At 43.9% G+C, this 23,400-nt stretch overlaps 1 protein-coding gene and 1 long non-coding RNA gene across 4 annotated transcripts in view, besides 2 other annotated features; one reads left to right on the top strand and one right to left on the bottom strand.

The window, feature by feature from the left end:
* Positions 1 to 23,400, bottom strand: part of TLN2 (talin 2) — a 454,082-nt gene that overhangs the window by 140,392 nt on the left and 290,290 nt on the right. For both annotated transcript variants that reach the window (NM_015059.3, NM_001394547.1), the window contains 8 exons: positions 17,444 to 17,599; positions 11,299 to 11,400; positions 9,848 to 9,924; positions 6,372 to 6,552; positions 5,373 to 5,486; positions 3,026 to 3,134; positions 2,040 to 2,248; positions 1,376 to 1,474 (listed from right to left, as the gene is read on the bottom strand). In NM_015059.3, coding sequence (NP_055874.2) covers positions 1,376 to 1,474; positions 2,040 to 2,248; positions 3,026 to 3,134; positions 5,373 to 5,486; positions 6,372 to 6,552; positions 9,848 to 9,924; positions 11,299 to 11,400; positions 17,444 to 17,599 — 1,047 coding nt within the window. The remainder of the gene's footprint in view (positions 1 to 1,375; positions 1,475 to 2,039; positions 2,249 to 3,025; positions 3,135 to 5,372; positions 5,487 to 6,371; positions 6,553 to 9,847; positions 9,925 to 11,298; positions 11,401 to 17,443; positions 17,600 to 23,400) is intronic.
* Positions 5,316 to 5,610: an enhancer, noted in NCBI's record as "tiled region #9569; K562 Activating non-DNase unmatched - State 21:Repr". NCBI's record gives its function as "activates a minimal TATA promoter and a strong SV40 promoter by Sharpr-MPRA in K562 cells {active_cell/tissue: K562}" and the evidence as "EXISTENCE:reporter gene assay evidence [ECO:0000049][PMID:27701403]".
* Positions 12,906 to 13,760: an enhancer, noted in NCBI's record as "H3K27ac hESC enhancer chr15:62982679-62983533 (GRCh37/hg19 assembly coordinates)". NCBI's record gives its function as "activates a minimal SCP1, AML or CMV promoter by ChIP-STARR-seq in naive H9 embryonic stem cells {active_cell/tissue: H9 hESC(naive)}" and the evidence as "EXISTENCE:reporter gene assay evidence [ECO:0000049][PMID:30033119]".
* The window catches only part of LOC105370855 (uncharacterized), a 28,962-nt gene continuing 21,776 nt past the window's right edge, over positions 16,215 to 23,400 (top strand). The window contains exons 1-3 of one of the 2 annotated variants that reach the window (XR_007064673.1): positions 16,215 to 16,421; positions 20,136 to 20,258; positions 21,184 to 21,382. This is a non-coding gene — a long non-coding RNA (uncharacterized LOC105370855). Of the gene's footprint in view, positions 16,422 to 19,997; positions 20,259 to 21,183; positions 21,383 to 23,400 lie in introns of those variants that run through there. The other variant, XR_007064672.1, reaches the window with a different exon arrangement.

The raw sequence follows: 23,400 nt of genomic DNA, 5'->3' as shown, positions 1-23,400 counted from the left end.
CTAGATTTGGTGATATTTGTGGTGTTAGTTCATATAAGTTCGTAATTTTTTGTGATTTCTTCTAAGTAAATATTTCATTATATATATAAATAAATAATTCAAAAAACATTTTAATAAGTGAAGGCCAATGAAATTCTGTAGAATTCCTAAACAGTGAACATGACACAGGATTTGGAAAAGGGCATCTTTCAGAGAACCTGGGCCAGAACTGTAACAATTTAATTAGGATATATTTATATATTACTTGCAAAATTAGAGACTTAGGAGAAGGAGTAAAGGGCACTGGCCCACCAGCACGTAAGCAGCTCATCCTGGCCTGAACCACCCCAGAAGCAGGCCTCTGCGCCCCACCCTTTGAGGGACAGGGATGGAGGCAGATGAGCAGAGATGTCTGATGCTTTCTGAGCTGCAGTGAGGTGATACTGCAGACAGTGGTGACAGTCGCTCCCCAGAGGGCAAGCACCACAGGTCCCTGGTATTGAAAAAGAAGGGTCACAAAAAAGACTTCCCTGCCACGCTTGTGGTTTTGGATAAGACACAAAAAATAAACCACCTCTGAGTACAAAGGAAATTCTCTCTCTCTTTCTCTGTGTGTGTGTGTGTGTGTGTGTGCGCGCGTGTGTGTGTGTGTGTGTGTCGAAGTAAACATAAACTTCATGTTTATGAGGACTCAAGAATGATGCCATTAAAACCTCCTCCTGAACAGATAAAGTAAGACTGGCCAGGAACTAATGATCACAGAGGTTAGGTGACAGATACCAGGAGTTCATGACACTATTAATATTTCCTCCCTTCTTGTGATTAAAGAATGTCCAGCACATTAACAAAAAAAATAATCACGGCCAGGCGCGGTGGCTCACGCCTGTAATCCCAGCACTTTGGGAGGCCGAGACGGGCAGATCACGAGGTCAAAGTTCGAGACCAGCCTGACCAACATAGTGAAACCCCGTCTCTACTAAAAATACAAAAATTAGCCGGGCATGGTGGCGTGCACCTGTAATCCCAGCTACTCAGGAGGTTAAGGCAGGAGAATTGCTTGAACCCGGGAGATGGAGGTTGCAATGAGCCAAGATCACGCCACTGCACTCCAGCCTGGGCAACAGAGTGAGACTCTAATTTAAAAAAAAAAAAAAAATCAGGAAAGCTAAATACGTGCTTTACAATGATGACGCATGGTGGCAGTGAAATGAGTTTTCCTATTAAAAAAAATCTTTTTGGTAACACAAAAAGACCTCACTCCCAAGATAATCCATCTCAATCGCATTCTTGACTATCTCAAAGATTTAGTTAGTTTTCAAATATTACATTCTGCCTGCTCGGGTCTAGACCATCACTTAGACTTCTTTCCATGACTATAAGCCTGCAAATATCTTACCTGGAATCGCTCATCAGTCTCATTCTCTCCAATCTGTCTCAGAAGATCCCCACTGGCTTGTCCGATGCTGCCAGCAGCAGTCAAAACTGTCTGTCGAGGCTGTGAACAAACAACACACCTTAATTGGAAAGAAAACGCATTTCCTCCAGTGCCATCAGACATGGAAGTACAGGAAGTAGAATCTCACAGAATTTGCTCCCTTTGTCTGACAGTGAGAATCTCAGGTGGTCTGCCAGATAGAAGACATCCCGGTGAAATCCGTGAAAGGAAACATCCAGTGTCTCACAAACCAGCAATATAGTTGTATGGATTTGAAATGGCCAATTAGTGAGCCTTGTTCATTTGGTAAGAAGGTGATGCATTCTGTGGAAATTAGGGTGCAAACTTCTATTCCCCTTAAATGCGTATTAGTCATGTGTGTTAAGTTCCTGTAGCTGCATCTACTCAAGTACCCTTGAGGGGGAGGCCTTTATACTAAGAGCTCAACCACTCCTGAATGTGGATGAGCTTCTGCACCCAGTTCCACAACTCCAGTTACTCCTGCAGAGAGAAACACACCCCATCAAGACGCAAGGAACAGCTCGGGAAGCAAGAGCCCCATGGTCCCCCAGTGGATGCAGCTGTCCCATCAGAACCTGAGTGATTGCTTGCCTCTGGAGCTTACCTCTCCAGAAGTAGGCTGCACAGCTTTCAGCAAGTCTGACACCGCCCCAGCGAGGGTCCTGGCAGCTCTGAGCAAGTCCTCCCCGCTGCCCACCTCATCATCCATGAGGGCGGCCAATAGCTTCACACCCTTGGACATCTCCGTCAGGTTGGAAGAAATAGTGGTGATCGCACATCCCACAGCTGTGTAGTCAGTGTCTGCAGGGTCACCTGGCACAGAAAAGAACCATCCCCATCAAAGGAGGGCACATGGTTCTGGTGAGAATTTTCAAAACCCCACACTGGCAGGAGTTCCTCACCTACCATCCTGCAGGAGTCAGACACCAAGCTTCACATGAGCACAGTGAGCTGGCCTGCTCCCTGTCTCCGAGGTGACTTCAAAAAGGCCCTTTCACCTGGAGGCCTCATGCACTGAAATACTGAGTACAACCACCTTTAAAAATCCAGAGGATGTCTCGGCATCTCACAGCCCTTTTCATTAGGCCCCTGTCAGCAGCTCAGGGGGTCAACTCTGCTCCTGAAAGGCTGCTGCAGGGTGAAACAAGCAAGTTCCCAGCTCTCCTCTGACAGTGAAAGGCTGGGAGCCACACTGTGCCAGAAGAGACCACTGCTGGACAACATGGGCAAAGGCACATATGACAGGTCTGTTCATTCAAAACCATTTTCCAACTGTAGGTGCCCAGAAGGCAGAAAGTAGCCTCAGTAGACTTTGCAGTATGTCCGGCACACTGACAAGCCGTGAGAAGATCTGAATAGATGCTTTTTAATGAGGATGCATGATACAGGCAAAAAGCAATGAGATGTTCCTTCCCACTCTCCTGGGTCACTGGGAGAAAATGCCTACAGCACTAAAAGTGCCTTAGACTATCCTCTCATAATATAAAGTCTATTGTTTCAATCAACAGATAACTTATTTTTTAAAATTAAAAAAAAAAACACAGCTTTTAAACAAAACCCCAATGCAGCACAAATCTCTCCGGGACTTACCAGCTGTGAGGTTAACAACTGAAGCCGTTCCGGCCGTGATAGCATCAACTTGAGAATGGATTTCGTGTTTGGATTCGTCGACTTTGTTCTGAACCCATACCCTAGATGCCTGCAAAGCCAGACAACGGCACAACACAATCACAGCACAGAATTACCCAGGAGACCGGAGAAGCCCCGCCATAAAATCACACCAGCATTTTGGCTACATTCTTCTTATGAGGCCAGCACCGACAGGGCCCTTAAGTTATCCTAAACAGTATCCTTAACAGGCCTCTTAAGGAGCAAGAGATACTCAATGGCGTGCAAATTCTCCCTTGTGTCTTATGTTAATTATGTTGTTTGTGTTTTTAACTTTTAAGATCTTAGGGAGAAAAATTCCACGTGGCCTTATTTAGAAAAATTCAAGTGAAAAAGAATGAGGAGAGAAAAATCAATGTTTCATCATAATACTGCACATTAGCACTAATAGTTGTTGCTAATTTTCACCTTGCTTTGCAGGGTGCAGGGTGAGAAAGAGGGTGTTTCAACTTAGACATGTTCTCTGTCAATGTAGGAAATGCCTCTTGCTTACAACGTGCATTGTCGTAAAGACAACTAAGGGCCATGCTCATGTAGACGGTAAGACCTTTCCTGGTAAGATGAGGGGATGGGTTGAGATCCCTGTTCTGGATCCAGATCTACCACTAGCAGGTGACAGGACCTCGGGCAAATCATAGGCAGGTCCTGTGCCTTATACTTCTTCTACCATGGAAATTCAATGGTTTTTAAAAACCTTTCCAGCTCTTATACTTTACGTTTATTTGAACCTATAAATAGCAAGTTCTCTATTTTCTGACATTTCAGAACTTACCTAATAAATGATCATTTATCTTGATAATGATGACCCTGCAGTAAGGTGCTCATCTGCTTCCCAAAACATCCCAAAAATACTCATCTATGTTCAGGATGTGACTAGCACTAGAAATAATTTATGGCATTCTAATTCTTTGAAAACTGGTGAAGCAGGAATGTTAAATCTTAAATATTTTAAAACTCTACCAATTATACTGGATATGGGAGTCTGCCATACATGTTTGTACTCTGGAGTTCCCCAAAGCAAATGTTTATTGTTTTTGGGTACCTGGGAGAAATGGCGCTGAGTTTACCAGCAACCTCCACGCACACAACTGTGCAAATGAAAAACTCAGCATTCTGGGAGAACTTGGAGGGCAGTTATCCTGGCAGGACAAGATGAGGCTACAGACTGTATCTTGGTTCTGGCCCCTGTGATGGCACCAGTCAGTCCTACAACAGTGGTTGTCAACCCTGACTGGCCATTAGAATCACCTGGGGAGAATAAAAACCACTGATTCTCAGGCTCCACCCACAGCAACAACGATTTATTTGGTCAGAACTGGTGCTTTGGGCTTTGTTTTTAAAGTTCCTAGGATGATTCTAACGTACAAAGCAGGGTTGAGAATGACAGCGCTAGCCGGTGCTTCTCAAACTTTAATGGTCACCCAAAGAAGCTGGGAACTTGGCTAAAATGCAGATTCTGTTTGAGTAGGCTGGGGAAGGCCCAAGATTCTGCACCTCTTACAAGACCCTAGGAATTGCCAATGCTGCTGGTCCTGGGACCACGATTTGAGCAGTGAGGAGTTGGAAGATTTCATGCAGCAGCAGCTACAGGAAGATCTCTGGGTTAATCACCCTACCTTGCTGAAAAGCTCAGTGGTAGTAAGCCAGTGCTTCTCAAAGCACAGTCCCCAGGCATGCAGTGTTGGCATCACCTGAGATCTTGTTGCAAATGCAAAATCTCAGGCCCTACCCAAGATCCAAAAAAAAAAAAATAGAGGAAGAGTCCAGCAACATTCATTTTAACAGGCCCTTCGGATGATGCTGATGGATGCTACAGCTTGAGAACCACGGGTAGCAATAAAACTAACAAACAGCTAATGCTTACTGAGCTCTTACTATGTGCGAGGGGCTGTGCTAAGAACTCTACAGGTGATTAGATCATTGCATCTTCATAACAACTCTATTTACAGATGACAAAGTGGAGGAATTGAGAAGGCAAGTAGCCCAGATTCACACAGCCAGTACTGGAGCTGGTGTTTGAACCCAGGTCACAGGATCCTAGGGTTCAAGTTCTCAGCCCACCCGTGGTACTGCCAACAGCCAGCAGTACCCTATGATTCTCTCCTCCTATGGGTGCAACTGAGAGGCAAAGACTCAATATCCTGAAAAAATCATGGGTTTCCATTTCACCTAGAGATAGAAATTTACCTAGATGAATCCCGACAGAGTATATAACCCTGCTTTCTGCCAGGGCAGAGACTTGGCATGAAAACCACTGAACAGTATTTACCATATCCTGGCCGAGAGGTGGCAGCGAGTCGAGCTCACTGAGATCATCCTGGGCCTGCTGGACGGCGTGCATGCTTGTGTTGATGGTCCCCATCAGGGCCTGCTGGGCTGAGGTCTGCAAAGGCAAATGAAACAAAGCTGTCATCCCACACGCCTGGGACCGACATGGCCCTTTATGCAAAACAAAGCAAAACAGAACTCTGCACTCAAGACAAAGCAGCCCAGGCTACATCTCAACAAGCGCCTCAACCATCTCCCATTTCAACCTGGAGGCCAGAAATAGATACTGCATTATATTAATAGAACACAAAATGAAGGTGATTGCCACGGAGGGATTATAATCAGAAGTGTGTGAAGAGCTTAATTAGCTGACAAGAAGGCTCAGAAGAGTCCTTGCTGGGGAACTGGGGTGATCCAATCTTTGAGTACTGAGGACCTCCTCACGCACAGGAAACACGTGGGTGTTAAATGAGAATGCTTCCTGATAGACACTTAAGGACTCCATCTAAATCTACGGTCAATGTACTTTTTCAGAGACAAGTGTTGTTCCTGAGCTTTCGAAAAGTTCTCACACAATAGCAAGGGAGTCCCAAGGCCGGCCTGAGAGGCACTGAGCCGGACAGACCAGCACAGTGGAAAGGAATCAATGACTCCCAGCGTGAAACCTCAAAATCACTAAAAACCTGGTCGACTTCTCAGACTTTCCTAGGGGTATCTGGCCCAATCAGCTTGATGCTGCCAGGACACGGGAGCAGAGTTCTGTCCCTGTACACAAGTCATGTTAAGAGCTCCCTAATTTTCCAGTCACAGAGGACACCTCCGATACTAAACAGGCAGTGATCCGAGTCATCCAATTTAAAAAATGCACAGCTGAACGAGGCATGGTTCAGCCGGGAAATAGAGAGCGTTCCAACACTCAGCCCATCACCGCCGCTGGTGTCCACCCTGCATGCGGGAGGCAGCAGACTAACGAGTGGGGGACGAGCACAGGAAGCCTCACCAGTGGCGGCATGTGGCCTCGGTGCATCTGCCCAACCATGACCTGCTGCTGTGGCGAGGGCATGCTGCCAACGTTGAAGGTCTCAGGCCCGCTGGAGCCCGAGCGCATCACGGCCGGCAGCGCCACTGAGCCGTGCTCTGCCTTCCCGGTCCGGTTGAACTGCTGCTGCAAGATGGTGGACCTGCCGGGAAAAGTGGTTTGGTCACTGAGAGAACACCAGCCATGTGGAGTGCAATGAGGAGACCCCACAGATGTCACGTATGTTCCCTGCTTTATGCTGTGAAGGCCAACTAAAAGAGGCACATACAGACTGAGAAGCAGGAATGAAGAAGTGGCATTACAACACTTAGCAGAGCTCTGAGATGAATCCTTTTATGATAAGTAATGTAAATAATTACTCCCAATTTATCTACTTAATAGATTTATGGTATTATGCAATTAGTTGTTATTTAAAAAACAAGGCCGGGTGCAGTATCTCACCCCTGTAATCCCAGCCCTTTTGGAGGCCAAATGGGAAGGATTCCTTGAAGTTAGGAGTTCAAGACCAGCCTGGGCAACATAATGAGACCTCGTCTCTACAAAAAATTCAACAACTCAGTCCCGAGTGGTGGTACATGCCTATAGTCCTAGCTATTCAAGAGGATGAGGTGAGAGGATCACCTGAGCCCAGGAGCCTGAGGCTGCAGTGAGCTATGATCGCGCCACTGTACTCCAGCCTGGGCAAAAGAGTGAGACTCTGTCTCAAGAAGAGAAAATGACAACAACACAGAGATTCCCATAATAATGATGTTCCAGGTTTTAAGTGAATGTATTGATATGTTGATATATTATTTTTGGTAAATAATATCTGAAAGAACATTCATTAAACAAGTATCAACCTTGTGCCAGGTTCCATTCTAGGCATCAGAGATACAGATCATTTATCTTTAGCTTGAAAGGGGAAATGTGGAAATGAAGCTAGGGGAAAATCTCCCACATCTTAGCTCCCCTCCCTCGGGTCCTCAGGTCCACCACCATTGACCACAGAGGATGTTTCATCGCCTCTAGAGCCTCAACCATGTGAGGCTTTGGAACCTTCCCCAAATGCTTTCAACTAAATATTGGGAAGATTCTTAAGGTATCTAATGGAAAAAATTGCATTTTTTAAAATTTATTTTTTTAAGACAGAGTTTCACTCTTGTCATCCAGACTGGAGTGCAGTGGCGTGATCTCGGCTCACTGCAACCTCTGCCTCCTGGGTTCAAGCGATTCTCCTGCCTCAGCCTCCCAAGTAGCTGGGATTACCAGCACCTGCCACCACACCTGGCTAATTTTCTGTATTTTTAGTAGAGACAGGGTTTCACCATATTAGCCAGGCTGGTCTTGAACTCCTGACCTCAGGTGAACCACCCGCCTCAGCCTCCCAAAGTGCTGGGAATACAGGCGTGAGCCACAGTGCCCAGCCAAAAAATTGCATTTTTTACTTCATATTGTCTTAGAATGAAGAATAAGTGCAAAGGACGCTGATCATCTGAAGGTAAAAAGTCTGAGGGTGGCATATGTTCCTCAGAAGCCCAGTGGACAAACCTACAAACAGGGTCTGTGTGTGTTGTGAGGCGGAAGGAAGGTGGAGGTGCAGCTGCATGAAGAGACAGGGACCTCTGTCCCAGGGCCCTCGCACCCTGTTGCCCAGAGCAAGGCTCGATAGCCACGCGGGGATCCCAAGCAACAGGCATCCATGGAGAAACACTGCAGTCTAGGGGTGGGGTGGTGAGACACCAGGGAAGGTTGGTCTGGAGGCTCCAGTAAGAAGTCAGTTGCATTCTGAGATCTCAGCCAAGGACCAATGGAGGAAGAAGTGGAAGGTCTAGCGATGGGAACGATCCTGACCATTCTTCCTGCTTGCCTTGATCAGACCCCACAGTGATGCTGTGGGCAGTGGAGGAGGCTACAGTGATCCCAGGCAGGGGAAGGTCCCAGCCCTCTGGGCTCAGACACTTACTGGGCCGCTCCTATGGGAAGCAAAGCACAGCAGAGTCCTCTGAAGTGACGCAGATCACCCTGTCAGGGAGCACTAGCTCACTAATTTACATCCAATGGTCATGAATAATTCCAAAGACTTAAGGTGCTCTGCCCAAGGGTGGCAAGTACTAGAAACTTATCATATCAAGTTTGGTTCCAACTTGCGTACTAGTGGGGACAAATGGAAAAACACCTTTTGGGTGATTAGGAAGCAAATTGTGAGAAACTGGCAGCAAGGGTGAAAATATTAGAGAAACTACTACAGCTAAGCAAGTTTAATGGATTGGAAGATGCTAGAACTTTCTAGCAGCGTACTATGGGAAACATCGCAAGATCTGAATCTGAGTCCTGGCTCTACCACATATGTGTATCTCAACTAACTTTCATGAGCTTCAGTTTCCTTATCCGTGGACTGGGAAAGATAGATCCTGCCTGGGACCACTGTAGCCTCCTCCACTGCCCAGAGCATCACTGTGGGGTCTTATCAAGGCAAGCAGGAAGAATGGTCAGGATTGTCCCCATCGCTAGACCTTCCACTTCTTCCTGCGTTGCTCCTTGGCTGAGACCCCTGGCCTCCCTTTTGCATAGGGAGTTGTTATTGGAATTCCAGATGAGACAAAATGTCACACTAAAGCATACAAGAACAGTCATTACATTGCTCTATTAACATAAAAGGGATGTCTGGATAGGTTTCCCAAAAAGAGCCATTTATTAGATGTTACTTAATTTTAATAAACCTATCTCCTCATCTATAAATGGGGCTAAATTAAGAATACCATGAATTTAAAACAATGATCATGAGGATGATAGTTATAATAGCAAGTGCTATGTGCCAGGCATTGTTTTATGTGCTTTATTAGTAACTACCATGGAAATAAAACCTACTTAGGTGGTAATATCATTATCCCCATTTTATAGATAAGCTCATGCCAGAAGAGAATTTAGTAACTTTCCCAGGGCCACACAGTGAAACAGAGACCCCAGATTTGAGTCCATATTCTTAACCACTCGCCTGCACTATGCTACCTCACAGCACTCGAGACAAGCGTGGCATGCAGCAGTGCTTCACCGTAACTCCGCCACTGGCTGCACTCCCTCCTCCCACAAAAGGGGCCAGAATCAAACAGAGGCTCATCCTCTGACCTCCTGACGGTACGGCTCAATGATCATGATTCGATCATGAGATTTAAATCAGAAATGCAGAACAGGACTCATGAACACTTACTGCCTCAAAAGACGCAGTTAAAATGCCACACCTTGGTCAATGTTTCCCTAAAATCCTCAGCCTCCCTCACGAGACGTCTGCCACTTCAATGCTGCTGGTCTGGGGACCACGCTTGAAGAAGATTCAACTATATCATCTGCTGTCATCTTCTCCAGGTGACAGGCTTCAGAGCAGCAGGCTCCAAGCTGGCAAGAGGAAACCTACCTATCTAGGGAGAAGGTGGTCCTCTAGTACTCTTCATAATACTTACTTTTTTGGGGAAACGGACTCTTCTAACATGGTTGACTCCTCATCACCTTCTAGTCCAAATCGATCTTTACTTTGTTTCTGGAAATGCAATAAAACAAGATGCAAAAATGAAAACCAGGCCACGCGCGGTGGCTCACGCCTCTAATCCCAGCACTTTGGGAGGCTGAGACGGGCGGATCACTTGAGGTCAGGAGTTCGAGACAAACCTGGTCAACACAGTGAGACCCCGTCTCTAATAAAAAATATATATATACATAAATCAGCCTGGCATGGTGACAGGAGCCTGTAATCCCAGCTACACCGGAAGCTGAGGCAGGAGAATTGCTTGAACTGGGAGGCGGAGCCTGCAGTGAGCCGAGACAGCGCCACTGCACTCCAGCCTGGGCGACTGAGGGAGACTCTGTCTCAAAAAAAAAAAAAAAAAAAAAAAAAAAAAAAGAAAGAAAATCAGCAGGTCTTCATACAAGGACCTTTAAAAAAACATTTTGAAGGGACACAAGTCAAAGTGTTGAAGTTTACTCAAAATTCTTTATACTGGATATTTAGTAAGCGATGGATGAACAAAAGCATAATAATAAAAAAGAGAAATATATGATTTAATATATAGTTAGATGTCACGTATTTATTGCACAGACTTTAATTTTACATAGTAAAAAATCAAGATGCACATATTAACATTCTATTAAATCTTGGTTTTTTGAATGGGCTGTATCTTGAAGCCTTAAGAAATCTGTTTTTCTATATACCACTATGGCATATAACCCCATTACATTTGTTTAAAAAAAAAACATGAAAACTACAAAGATCATTTTTGGCCCCTCAATCCAAGTTCCCACAGAGGCTGAAAAGCACAGTACAGCTACGTGGAGAGGAAGATGCTGAGGGGTGCTAGGCTCATTCATTAGCTAAGTGACATGCTATTGTTCACTGCCTGGTAGTAAATGACACAAATATGTGCTGCAGAAAAAGCAGGAATTCTCAAAGGATCTTGAGGTCAAAGATCTCACACTTAATTAGTGATTAAAGATTAAATTAGTAAATCAAGTTTTGTTGTTTTTTTTTGAGATGGAATCTCGCTCTGTCACCCAGGCTGCAGTACAGTGGCGTGATCTCAGCTCACTGCAACCTCTGCCTCCCAGGTTCAAGCGATTCTCCTGCCTCCACCTCCCGAGTAACTGGGACTACAGGCGCCTGCCACCACGCCCGGCTAACTTTTTTGTATTTTTAGTAGAGACGGGGTTTTGCCATGTTGGCCAGACTGGTCTCTAATACCTGACCTCAGGTGATCTGCCTATCTCAGCCTCCCGAAGTGTTGGGATTACAGGCGTGAGCCACCATGCCTGGCCTCAAGTATTATTTAAGAGGATTTTTTTTTCAAGGTAGCCACGTCATCGAAACCAAGCCTTTTAATAAAGCCGTCTTGCTTTTCCAATTTGCATCAATACAAAATACCTTTTTCAGGATGATGTCAATGTAGCCTGCAATCAGCTGGGATATCTGCTCTCCCTCGGTGGTTTGTACTGAATAGTAGCTTTCCTGATACTCCCCAAAATCCTGAAAAGACAGCAATGGAGGAAATATAGCCAAATCAGATATATCAGCATTTTAAAGGCTAGCAGGTCCAGCTCTAGAACAATATGACATAGACTTCATTTTCCCTGCTCCTCCTCTCTAAATACAAATGAATATCCTAAAATTTATTCAACAATATTCAACAACGGTAAAAGAGCTCTGAAAACTGAGAAGACAGACTGGCTGGGGGGCTCAGAACTTGCAAAACCACAATGTGGTTGAGTTCTTGGGCTTCTTTCCTATCCCATATACCCCCAAGACTAAGAGTTGTAGAGGCCTGAACATTGGAACCTCCAGTAAGCAGTTCCTGAAAAGCATGCTTTTAGTCAAAGAACTAGGAGAAGGGGAGCCCAAGAGAGACTAATTTGGGGAACTAGTCAGGAGCTCCAACTCCAGCTCAACAACCTGGGCTGATATTCACAGGAAGCTGCAGAGCAGGGAAACCTCAGACCCTCCCAGGCCCTGTTCCACAACCCAGGCAGGTGGATGGTCTGACCCTTTTGCTGCAGCAGCCACAGTAAAGCCCTGTGTCTCCCTGCCCTCTAGCCAGTGGCTTAAAGAGACTCAGCTCCAGTGCCCTCTGCTTCCTGCAACGAAGGTCACCCAGCAATAGCAGGTAGCCCAGGGAAGTGCCTTCTGCCTTCATCGACAGAACCAACAGGGTTTGAGCAGGAACCTTAGTGTCAAAAGAAAAAATCAGTCCAGAATAGCAATGAAAGGGCTCAGAGAATAAAACTGTCATTGCAACTTAAGCCCTGAAAAGTAGGCCAGAATACTACACGCTAAACTTGAACAAAGTGGCCACCTGCTATAACAGAATATTTCAGTAAGATCAGAAGTCTCCCAATGGGCTGGGCACAGTGCTCATACCTGTGATCCCACCACTTTGGGAGGTTGAGGCGAGAGGATCACTTGTGCCCAGGAGTTCAAGACCAGCCTGGGCAACATGGTGAGACTTCACCTCTATAAATTTTTTTTTTTTTAATTAGCCAGGCATAGTGGCATGAGCCTGCAGTTCCAGCTCCTCAAGAGGCTGAGGGAGGAGGATCGCTTGAGCCCAGGAGGTGAGCTATGATCACACCACTACACTCCAGCTTGGGCAACAGAGTGAGAGACTGTCTCCAAAAAAAACAGGTCTCCTAATAACCAAGATGTCTAGGATGTCTTAAAAAAATAAATATTCATATCGAGAGCCAGGACACCCACAATATGAATGACAGATCATCAACTCATGCCAACACTGAAATAAATCAGATATTGGAATTATAAGGATTTTAAAGCAACCATCATAAAAATGCTTCACCAATAAATTGCAAATTCTCTTGCAGCAAATTTTAAAGAATAAAAAGTTCAAACAAAGAAACAGAAGTCATAAAAAAGAACCAAATGGAAATTACAGAACTGAAAAAGGCAATAACCAAAATTTTAAAACTCACAGGATAGACTAAATAGTAGTGTGGAGATAATAAAAAATAAAATCAGTAAACCTGAAAATAGATCAACAGAATTTAGTCAATCTGAACAATATAGAGAAAAGAAACTAAAAAACAGAGCTTCACGGACTTATAGGACAGTAACAAAAGATCTAACATTAATATCATCAGAGTAACAGGAGAGGACAGTGTTGGATAAAAATAGAGTAGCTGAAGAAATAATGACTGAAAACTTCCCCAAATTAGTGAAGACTTAAACCCACAAATTCAAGAAGCTGAGTGAACTCCAAATAGAAGAAATCTTAAGAAGCCCATACCCCTCCCCCTCCCCTCCCCCTCCCCCTCTCCCTCTCCCTCTCCCACGGTCTCCCTCCCCCTCTCTTTCCACGGTCTCCCTCTGATGCCGAGCCGAAGCTGGACTGTACTGCTGCCATCTCGGCTCACTGCAACCTCCCTGCCTGATTCTCCTGCCTCAGCCTGCCGAGTGCCTGCGATTGCAGGCGCGCACCGCCACGCCTGACTGGTTTTCGTATTTTTTTTGGTGGAGACGGGGTTTCGCTGTGTTGGCCGGGCTGGTCTCCAGCTCCTAACCGCGAGTGATCCGCCAGCCTCGGCCTCCCGAGGTGCCGGGATTGCAGACGGAGTCTGGTTCACTCAGTGCTCAATGGTGCCGAGGCTGGAGTGCAGTGGCGTGATCTCGGCTCGCTACAACATCCACCTCCCAGCTGCCCGCCTTGGCCTCCCAAAGTGCCGAGATTGCAGCCTCTGCCCGGCCGCCACCCCGTCTGGGAAGTAAGGAGCGTCTCTGCCTGGCCGCCCATCGTCTGGGATATGAGGAGCCCCTCTGCCTGGCTGCCCAGTCTGGAAAGTGAGGAGCATCTCTGCCCGGCCGCCATCCCATCTAGAAGTGAGGAGCGCCTCTTCCCGGCCGGCCGCCATCACATCTAGGAAGTGAGAAGCGTCTCTGCCCGGCCGCCCATCGTCTGAGATGTGGGGAGCGCCTCTGTCCCGCCGCCCCGTCTGGGAGGTGAGGAGCGCCTCTGCCCGGCCGCGACCCCGTCTGGGAGGTGAAGAGCGTCTCTGCCCGGCCGCCCCGTCTGAGAAGTGAGGAGCCCCTCCGCCCGGCAGCCGCCCTGTCTGAGAAGTGAGGAGCCTCTCCGCCCGGCAGCCACCCCGTCTGGGAAGTGAGGAGCGTCTCCGCCTGGCAGCCACCCCGTCCGGGAGGGAGGTGGGGGGGTCAGCCCCCTGCCTGGCCAGCCGCCCCGTCCGGGAGGGAGGTGGGGGGGGGTCAGCCCCCCGCCCGGCCGGCCGCCCCGTCCGGGAGGTGAGGGGCGCCTCTGCCCGGCCGCCCCTACTGGGAAGTGAGGAGCCCCTCTGCCCGGCCAGCCGCCCCGTCCGGGAGGGAGGTGGGGGGGTCGGCCAGCCGCCCCATCCGGGAGGGAGGTGGGGGGGGTCAGCCCCCCGCCTGGCCAGCTGCCCCGTCCGGGAGGGAGGAAGGGGGGTCAGCCAATAAAAAAAAAAAAAAAAAAAAAAAAAAAAAAAGAAGCCCATACCAAGAATTTTGAAAACTAGAGATAAAAATATCTTAAAAACAGCCACAGAAAAATGACATATTACCTACAAATTGACACCAACTTGAATGACAGCAAATTTATCATTAGAAACCATGGAGGTAAGAAAGAAGTGGCATGACACTTTTCAGATACTAAAAGAAAGGAACTGTCAATCCCAAATGCTGTACCTGGCAAAATTATCCTTCATGAATGAAGGGGAAATAATAACATTCTCAGAGGAAAAAAACACAAAGTCAATTTGTTGCTAGCAGATGTACCCTTAACAAATAGCTAAAGGAAGCTCTCCAAACACAAAATGATAACAGAAGAAGGCTGGGAACTTTAGAAAGGCAAGAAGAACAATGGGGTAGATAAAAATAAAGGGAAGTGTAATAGACGGTTCTTCACCTCATGAGTTTCTTTCATCACATTTTGTGTTCAAAGCAGAAGCTGTAACACCATCTTATGTGGTTATAGACAAAATAACCATCTTATGTGTATACTGAAAAAATATTTAAATAATTATACTCAAAAAGTGTGGGGAGTGGGTAGGTAAAAAGACCTAAATGGAAGTAAGGTTTCTACACTTAAGGGGGAAAAGCCATTACCAGTAGACTGTGTTTAATTTCATATGGACATGGTAATATCCAAAATAACCACTAAGAACACTACACAAAGTGATATGCTCAAAACGTAACACACAAAGCAAACAAACTCTAAAAAGGTGTCCAAGTAACCCACAGAAAAGGCAAAAAAAAAAAAAAAAAGAGAGAGAGAAATAAAGTGGACAAACAGAAAAACTACAAAATGATAGACTTGGGCCCTAACATATCAATAATTAGCTTAAATATAGTGTAAATATACCAATTAAAACTGAGATAGAATGGATTAAAAAAATATAACCCAACTAATTATGCTCTCTACAAGAATTCATTTCAAATATAACAGTATATGCAAGTTGAAAATAAAAGGATGGAAAAAGATGTATCATGCCCACATTAGTTTTATAAAAAGCATTGGTGGCTATGTCAACATTAGATACAGTAGACTTCAGAGAAAAACAAAAATTACTAACAGAAAATAACATTACATAAGGAAAAAACAACTTCTCTGTTAAGATAGAGGAATCTTAAATGTACAGGCATCAAACAACAAAGCTTCAAATTACATGAAACAAAAACTGAGAGCTGAAAGAAAAAGTAGAAAAATCCATAATTACTGTTAAGAACCTCACTCTCGGCAACTGAGAAAACTGCCAGGCAGAAAATTAACAAAGATATTCATTCAAAAGACTGGAACACCACCATCAACTAATAGGGATCTAACTGGTATTTATAGAGCCCACTTTACATGATAATAGCAGAATATATGTTCTTTTTGAATACTCGTAGAACACTCACCAAAAAGGATATCCTGGGATATAAAAACAAACCTTAAAATTTCAAAAGGACTGAAATCATACAGAGTATGTTCTCTGACCATAATGGAATCAAACTAAAAAATCAATAGTAGAAAGACAGCAGAAAAACCTCTAAACACTTGGAAATTAAATAAAGGCTAGGAGTAGGAAGGAAAAAATCACTACGTATAATGGGCTTTAATGTGACGTTATGCTTTAATCAAAATACTGTTATTCTCTCTTTTGCCTGAGGTAGTTAATGAGGTTATCATAACTATTCATTTTTTAAATAAATTTTTGTTTTCAATAAATACTTGGACCTAGTTTAAAAAGACCAATAGTATTACAAGATGTAAAACAAAACACAGTTGTTCCCTGTCCTACCCATTCCCAACTTCACTTTCTACCACATACCTCTCCAAAGGTAACCACTTTCAACTCTTTTAGCAGTTGCTTCTAGTATTTCTAAATAATATGTTTATATTGATTTCTTGATTTTTCTAATTTAGAAATCATCCATGACTTCCTGCAATGGAAGATGAGGACACAGCTAAGTATGAACATTCATCTTTTGAGGGCCACACAGGCACAAATGTTACAGCTACAAGAGGAAAGAAGGTATGTTTTCTGATGATTCCTTATAATTGGCAGGAACCTATCAATCTATAGTCAAATTAGATAACTAATGACTCTTTCCATGGCCCCTTCTTTACACAGTTTTTTTTCTGATGTCCTATTATGATATCTTGCATAGATAAGAGGTGATATTTCAAGCATTCACTAGAGACTTCAAGAGTCTTAAGAACTGACAAATTCTAGCACTTTTTGATTTTTCTTATTGCACATCTTGCCCTACCAACCACCCGCTCTATTGTGTTTCACATGTAAATGTGGCTATAGTTAAGGCATAGAGTTATACTCTGCTAACAACAAATGTTGAAATCAGGAGGAAGAATTCAGAGGTCTGAAGACCTGAAACAAACATATTCTCACTACTTTCCATAAATTTTATACTAAGCATCTTATCTTCATCTTATTCAATCCTAGCAGCTCTGTAGGTAGGACTATCACCATTTTATAGCTGAAGAAATTAAGGCTCAGAGAGGAAAGGTAACTTGAACAAGGTCACACAGCTGGGAAATGACAAACTGGATTTCTATAATAATACTATCCTAAAGTCCACGTTATTTCCACTGTGTACTATGCTCTCTTTCTAGGCAGGCTGGGAAAACATTCCTCAGCAAGATAATCACAATGCTTAGGACCATCTAAAACAGAGAGGGGGCCTTTGTGTCTCAGAGCACTAGAAAGTTTCCTTTCAGTATATGCTAGGGATGTCATCAGGAACACAGAACTGAGAATCATCTGGGTGAGTGGCTTTTTCTAGATAATGAACTAGAGGCTGACTTATGTAGAGTGCAGAGAAGCAGTAGTGCCTGAAGAAACCCAGGCTTGCTGACCTCTCTTTTACTTCTGGACCCATCCCCTTCCCTGCCCATGGGCTTGCACCATCTTCCTCACTCCACGCTGGCTCTCCCAGGCCAGAGAAACCCAATGGGCAAGAATCTGGTCTTTCTCCTGTCCCCACAATATCACTCAAGGCCACGCTAGTGCTCTCCTTGCCCTCTGCCAGTCCCTACCAGTGTGAAGCTCTTGGGTGAGGCTGCCCAGCGCTTGACGGTGGTGAGGGGCCACTCCTGCAGCACTTCCTTGGTCTTCTCATCCACGCGCATCACCGAGTCTTTGGTGATCCCCAGCAGGCGAGGCACCAGCTTGTTCTTGCCTTTCATCTTCTCCTGAAACAGGAGATACCAAGAGTCAGTGCTCTTCTTCTGAATACATCTGACTTTGCCAGGGAATCAGTGATTTTTTGACCTTTCACCTGCATACACTGTCTTTCAAAACAGGTAGGGCTATAGGGAAACCAAGATTTTGAGGCTAGGTGAATAACTCATTAAACTAAAGGCATGGGAACTCAAACAAAGACATGAGAAGACTGGAAAGAGCCACAAAATCATGCCCCCTGTTCAGGAGAGCAGCTTGCTCCAAAAACAGACGATGCCAGAAAGATGGGATAGAACTGAAAAGACATCCAGAGAAAAACAAGCAAAGGTGAATTCCAGGTACTATCACTCCCAGTGGCCAACTCAGTGAGTAACAAACAAGGGTTAATCTGAGATTTAAAATTAACTTAACTAAAACTCTGTCAAAGTAGAATCTTCTCATTATGAGGAGACACAGCTTCCTGCCCTTTTTTTTAAATCTCTGAAATATATTTCTGTTTGGATTCTTTGTTTTGGAATTTTGTATATCTACTGATTCTTAAAACTTATTTTATAACTAGTTTTAATAATGTTTTAAGATATAGTAATGTCTATTAAAATAATGGAACCCTAGCTCACACTCATACCAAAACAAATTAAAGACAGAGACAGATTAATAATTTAGGAAGAACATCCAAGTGGATATTTTTGTGATCCTTGGGTGACAAATGATTTCCTAAGAAAAACACCAACATAAGAAGCCATAAAGGAAACGATTAATATGCTTAACTCAAAATATACATACTTTTGATAGACCAGGGGGAGGAGAGCAGAAGCTAAAGAAACCTCATAAAAAATGAAAAAGACTGGGCAATAAATATTTACAATGAATGTAATGGCAATAGACTTCATATACTGTCTATGTGATGTGTTCATAAATCAACAAAATAACTGCTGAAGAATATGAACAGAAAATGTTTTTAAAATAAATAAGCAAATAAGTTTTCACTTAAAATAGCTAAGGTTTCTTATTAAAATTAATACTCAGATTTGAGGAAGATGTGAAGCGGGTCACTAGTGATGAAAGCTTAAGATAGCAAAGCCTTCATGGGGGAAAATGTGTCACTATCTATCCAAACCCTTAAAAAGTCCTTACTTTTGACACAGCTAGCTTTGAGAAATTTAGTTTAAAAAAAAGTTATAAATGTGTGTAAAGATTATGCCACATGAAGCTCAACCACAGTACATCATAGTGAAAAGCTAGAAACCACCCAATTTTCAGACAACATTAGGCCCATTCAGGGTGGTATGGCTGTAGATGAAACAATCCAAGTTTTCAATAACACAGGACTTGATACATAAATTATGATATATCCAGATAACAGATTACCCTACATTATTAAAAATCATATTGTAGAAAAACAATTGGTTTTATGGAAGTAAATTATTCATAATATATTATTAAAAAACAGAATATAGGGCCTAATCTTAGAGGAAATAAAAATTTAAAAATAGGCCTATGTCCATTACATGAAAAAGGCACTGAACATCTCATGTGTTTTGTATTATTTTTTCATGCTTTTCCTTATTTCCAAAATTTCACTATTAAGTGTGTATTTTTAGGGCTGTCAGGAAAACCTTTTCAACTCATATTTGCTGAAACCTAGCAACAACACCTAAACTGCTATTCTCAGAGGCCTAGATATATACATTCACACAAAGTATCTATGCATTTGTGGATGTGTCTACACACACCCAACACAGGGTAATGGCACATAAAACAGAGCTGGAACATACTAGATACTTAATAAGCACCATCTGTTAATCTTCAGAGCATCTCCAAAACACTGGTATCATCATTTTTCACTTTGCAAGTGAAGAGACCAAAGCCAACAGTGGTGAGTGGTAAAGCCATAATTTGAACATAGATTTGAGTAGCTCAAAAATATCTCTGACTTCAAAAGCTGACTGTCTACTGCAGTTTACTGTCTTCTGGTGGAAGCAAAAAGAGAAAAGGCCAAATCCTACCCACCCCCAACCGCCCTCACCATGGGCATCTGGTAACCCTCAGATGGTGACAGTCACCGCACACCCCCAGCTTCCTCACGGAGGACACCATGGTATGAGGAATCTACCTGGGTGTCTGAGGAGGGGAATATTCCTCCCTGAACCTCAAGTCTTAAAAAACACTGACAAGCGTCAGATTTTTTTCAAAGAGAGGGCAGTTCCACAAGGGGTGAGATCAGTGCAGGGCAGACAATGTCAGTTAATCTACTTTGGCTTCAGGAGCCACACAGAGTTTTAGCTTGATAGGCTCTAGGCAGCTAATTTAGTCACACAGGGTTGGCACAATCCCAGCTTCTGGGACCCAGGAAGGGGACTGGAGATAAAATATGGTTTGCAGCTGCTTCCTTCATTCTTTCCCATCTGCACTGTTCCCCAGTGAGGGCTTCTGGGGTGCGGGAACACAGAATCGTGACGGATTGCCCTAATTCTTGTCAAGATCATTCCAGATTGGGAGAGGAAGCCACAGTGAACAAACAACTTACAGTGGACGCTCTATCAACAGGTCACAACTGAGGAAAAGGGGCTGAGGGAACTCAAAAAATACTGCAACTGGCAACAGAGACCACCATCAAGGGATAAAATTACTTCAGCACCTACACACAAAACGCAGAGCAGCTGGAGAAAGGTAAAGTAGCAAATGGCTGAGATCTGTGATCGTGATGCAAGGTCTTCCCCGGTGCAGAGACCTGCCTTAGAGCCTCAGTGACAGGGATGTGACGGGAGGGCCACAGGGTAATAAAGCTCCCTCTTTCCTTCCTATGCCTCAAGTCTCAGTACCCCCGAACCACTCCTTTCCGACCTTCAACTACACAGACCAGCTTCCTTTTATCTCCAGTAGACAAAGCAGGCTAAAGCAGGCACCAGTGAAGACCCATCTATCTCATATACCAACACACACAAAGAGCTGTAGCTGTGATTTTTGACGGCCATCTAGAAGCTTCTCTCTCAAGATGGTCCTGATTAGATTGTTTTTGTTTTGAAAATGTCTACAGCTTGTGTAACTCAGAGGCAGGAGAATGCAGGCATTCTACCAATGAGAGGCGGGAGAATGCAGGCATTCTACCAATGAGAGGCGGGAGAATGCAGGCATTCTACCAATGAGAGGCGGGAGAATGCAGGCATTCTACCAATGAGAGGCGGGAGAATGCAGGCATTCTACCAATGAGAGGCGGGAGAATGCAGGCATTCTACCAATGAGAGGCAGGATTCGCTAATAAACCCAAGCCCTCCTCTTTCAAACGTATTTCAGCTAAAACTACGGGTTCAGCCCTGGCAGCCAGCTGTGATCAAGACTGCTGTCTGCAGGCTCTTTTCACTGGTGTAGAGATTGCCTGATTCTGCATCACCTCTGCCTCACATCTGAGATCCAGAACTGGATGGAGGAATGCAACTGGACTGAGCTTCTGGCTCCTGGACCCTCACTTCAATATGGCCCAAGCCCAAAGGGTCCTCCCCATGATCCAGCTGAGCTCACTAGAGTTCTAGGTTGGCTTGGCCAAAGGGCTGGTTTGCATGTTTTACTCTGTCTTCAGTATATTTCTTTCTTTTAGGGGCATGGGAAAAAAAGGCTGCTCAAGAGCAAACCTGAAGACCCTGTTTATTAGCCATTTCTCTCCCTGCAAGTGACTGGCAATCCATTTTGACTGAACTTGGGATTCTGAGATGCTCCGAATGCCCTCTCTGGTGTTTTTACAGTTGAGGGGAGAAGAGGGTCTGTTCTCCAGGTAATCTAACACCTCAAGGCTCTGGGTAAGTCTGCAAAAAGTTTTCAAAGGCAAATTTGGAAGTGAGAAGGGTTACACGTGATTTTCTGGAATAAAACAAGATTTTATGCTGGTCATGGGAAATGCCTTACTGTTGCTTGTGGGGTTTTGGTGTAGCAGATCATGATGAAATGCAAAAGAAGGCAATGAAAGAAGGAAGAATGTAGACATTTACAGCTCCCATTTATGGAGATTTATATGAGGCAGTCCCTTTTTCTGTATTAACTTATTTAAACCTCATAAAAAGTCACAATTTTATAGGTGAACAAACTGAAGCTTAGAGATGAAAGGTAAGGTAACTTATCCAAGATCAAACTACTAAGTGGCAAAGCCGGGATCCAAACTGAAGTCTTTCTTTTCCAAAGCACATTTCCTAGCCACTGAGAATACTGCTGCCTAATGCTATTCCATATGAATTCATTATATGACTCGCAGACATGCTCTGTATGGAGGTGGGTAAACTATGGCCAATGCTAAATCCGGCTTATTTTTTATGGACCAAGAGCTAAGAATGAATTTTCCAATTTTAAATTAAAAACAAAAACCAAGAGGAATATTTTGTGCGAGAAAAATTACATAAAATTCAAATTTCAGAGCCCAAAAATAAAGCTTTGTAGAAACATAACCATGCCATTCATTTACATTTTGCCTATGGCTGCTTTCATACTACAGGGGCAAAGTTGAGTAGCATGATTGGCAAAGCCTGAAATGTTTACTATCTGCCCCTAGGGCCAGGGAGTTGGGAAGTGTGGGAAGAGTTCAGTGACTGGGATCATCTAAAATTTATCAGGCCAGATACAGTGGCTCATGCCTGCAATCCCAACACTTTGGGAAACTGAGGTGGGAGGATCACTTGAAGCCAGGAGCTCAAGACCAGACTGAGCAACATAAGGAGACCCGTCTCTAAGAAAAAATAAAAATAAATTAGCTGGGCGTGGTGGCACGTGCCTGTAGTCTCAGTTACTCAGGAGGCTGCAGTGAGCCATGATCACGCCACTACATTCCAGACTGGGTGACAGAGTGAGATCGTGTCTCGAAAAAATTAATAAATAAAATTAAATTAATCAAATATCCTTACTTTCCAGTCACCACATTTGTTTACATACATTAGCTCGCTTACTCGTCATTAGAGCTCTTTAAGGAATTATTCCTATTTTTCAGATGAAGAAACTGAGATTTAGAGAGTTTAGGTACTTTCCCTAAGGTCATATAAGTTTCTACTATTCCTCACACAGGTGTAAATTACCATCCTGGATTCTAGGCCAATCTTCCCAACTCCAACATGCAAGCACGCTCTATTACAATGACATAAAATTTAATACCGATTATTAGGACAAAATGTTCATAGACATAAAAGAAAATATGATGTAAGCAGCTCTAAGCACATGAAACCAGTCCTTTCAAAATATCTATGACTGATCTCAAGGCTGTGGGGTTTGAGTAGGTGTGTTCAATATCATTATTAATTATAATTTCATTTACTTATTTAGAGTTTCTAATAGAATCCTATAAAAGTAGTGAATGGGAAGGTGGAATTACTAACTTTTAATTTACTTCCTAAATTATGCTTTCATTAGCATAATTCCTTCACAATTTAATGCAATGTTCAGTTTAGGGCTTGAGAAATCTGTTACTGATGTCTTTAAAAAATTTATTGTCCCAATTAGTACAACCTCTATGGAAAACAGTATAGAGATTCCTTAAAAGCTAAAAGCAGATCTACCATTTGATCCAGCAATCCCACTACTGGGTATCTACCCAAAGGAAAAGAAGACATTACATGAAAAACACACTTGCACACGTACCTTTATAGCAGCACAATTGACAACTGCCAAAGATGTGGACCCAACCTAAGTGACCATCAACTAATGAGTGGATAGAGAAAATGTGGCATATATACACCATGGAATACTACTCAGCCATGAAAAAGAACAAAATAATGTCCTTTGCAACAACTTGGATGGAGCTGGACGCCATTATTTTACGTGAATAACACAGGAGCAG

Source organism: Homo sapiens, chromosome 15 (genome assembly GCF_000001405.40).
Source record: "Homo sapiens chromosome 15, GRCh38.p14 Primary Assembly".
Taxonomy (NCBI): Eukaryota; Metazoa; Chordata; class Mammalia; order Primates; family Hominidae; genus Homo; species Homo sapiens.
The sequence above is the reverse complement of the archived record's forward strand: the minus strand, read 5'-3'. Positions and strand labels throughout refer to the sequence as shown.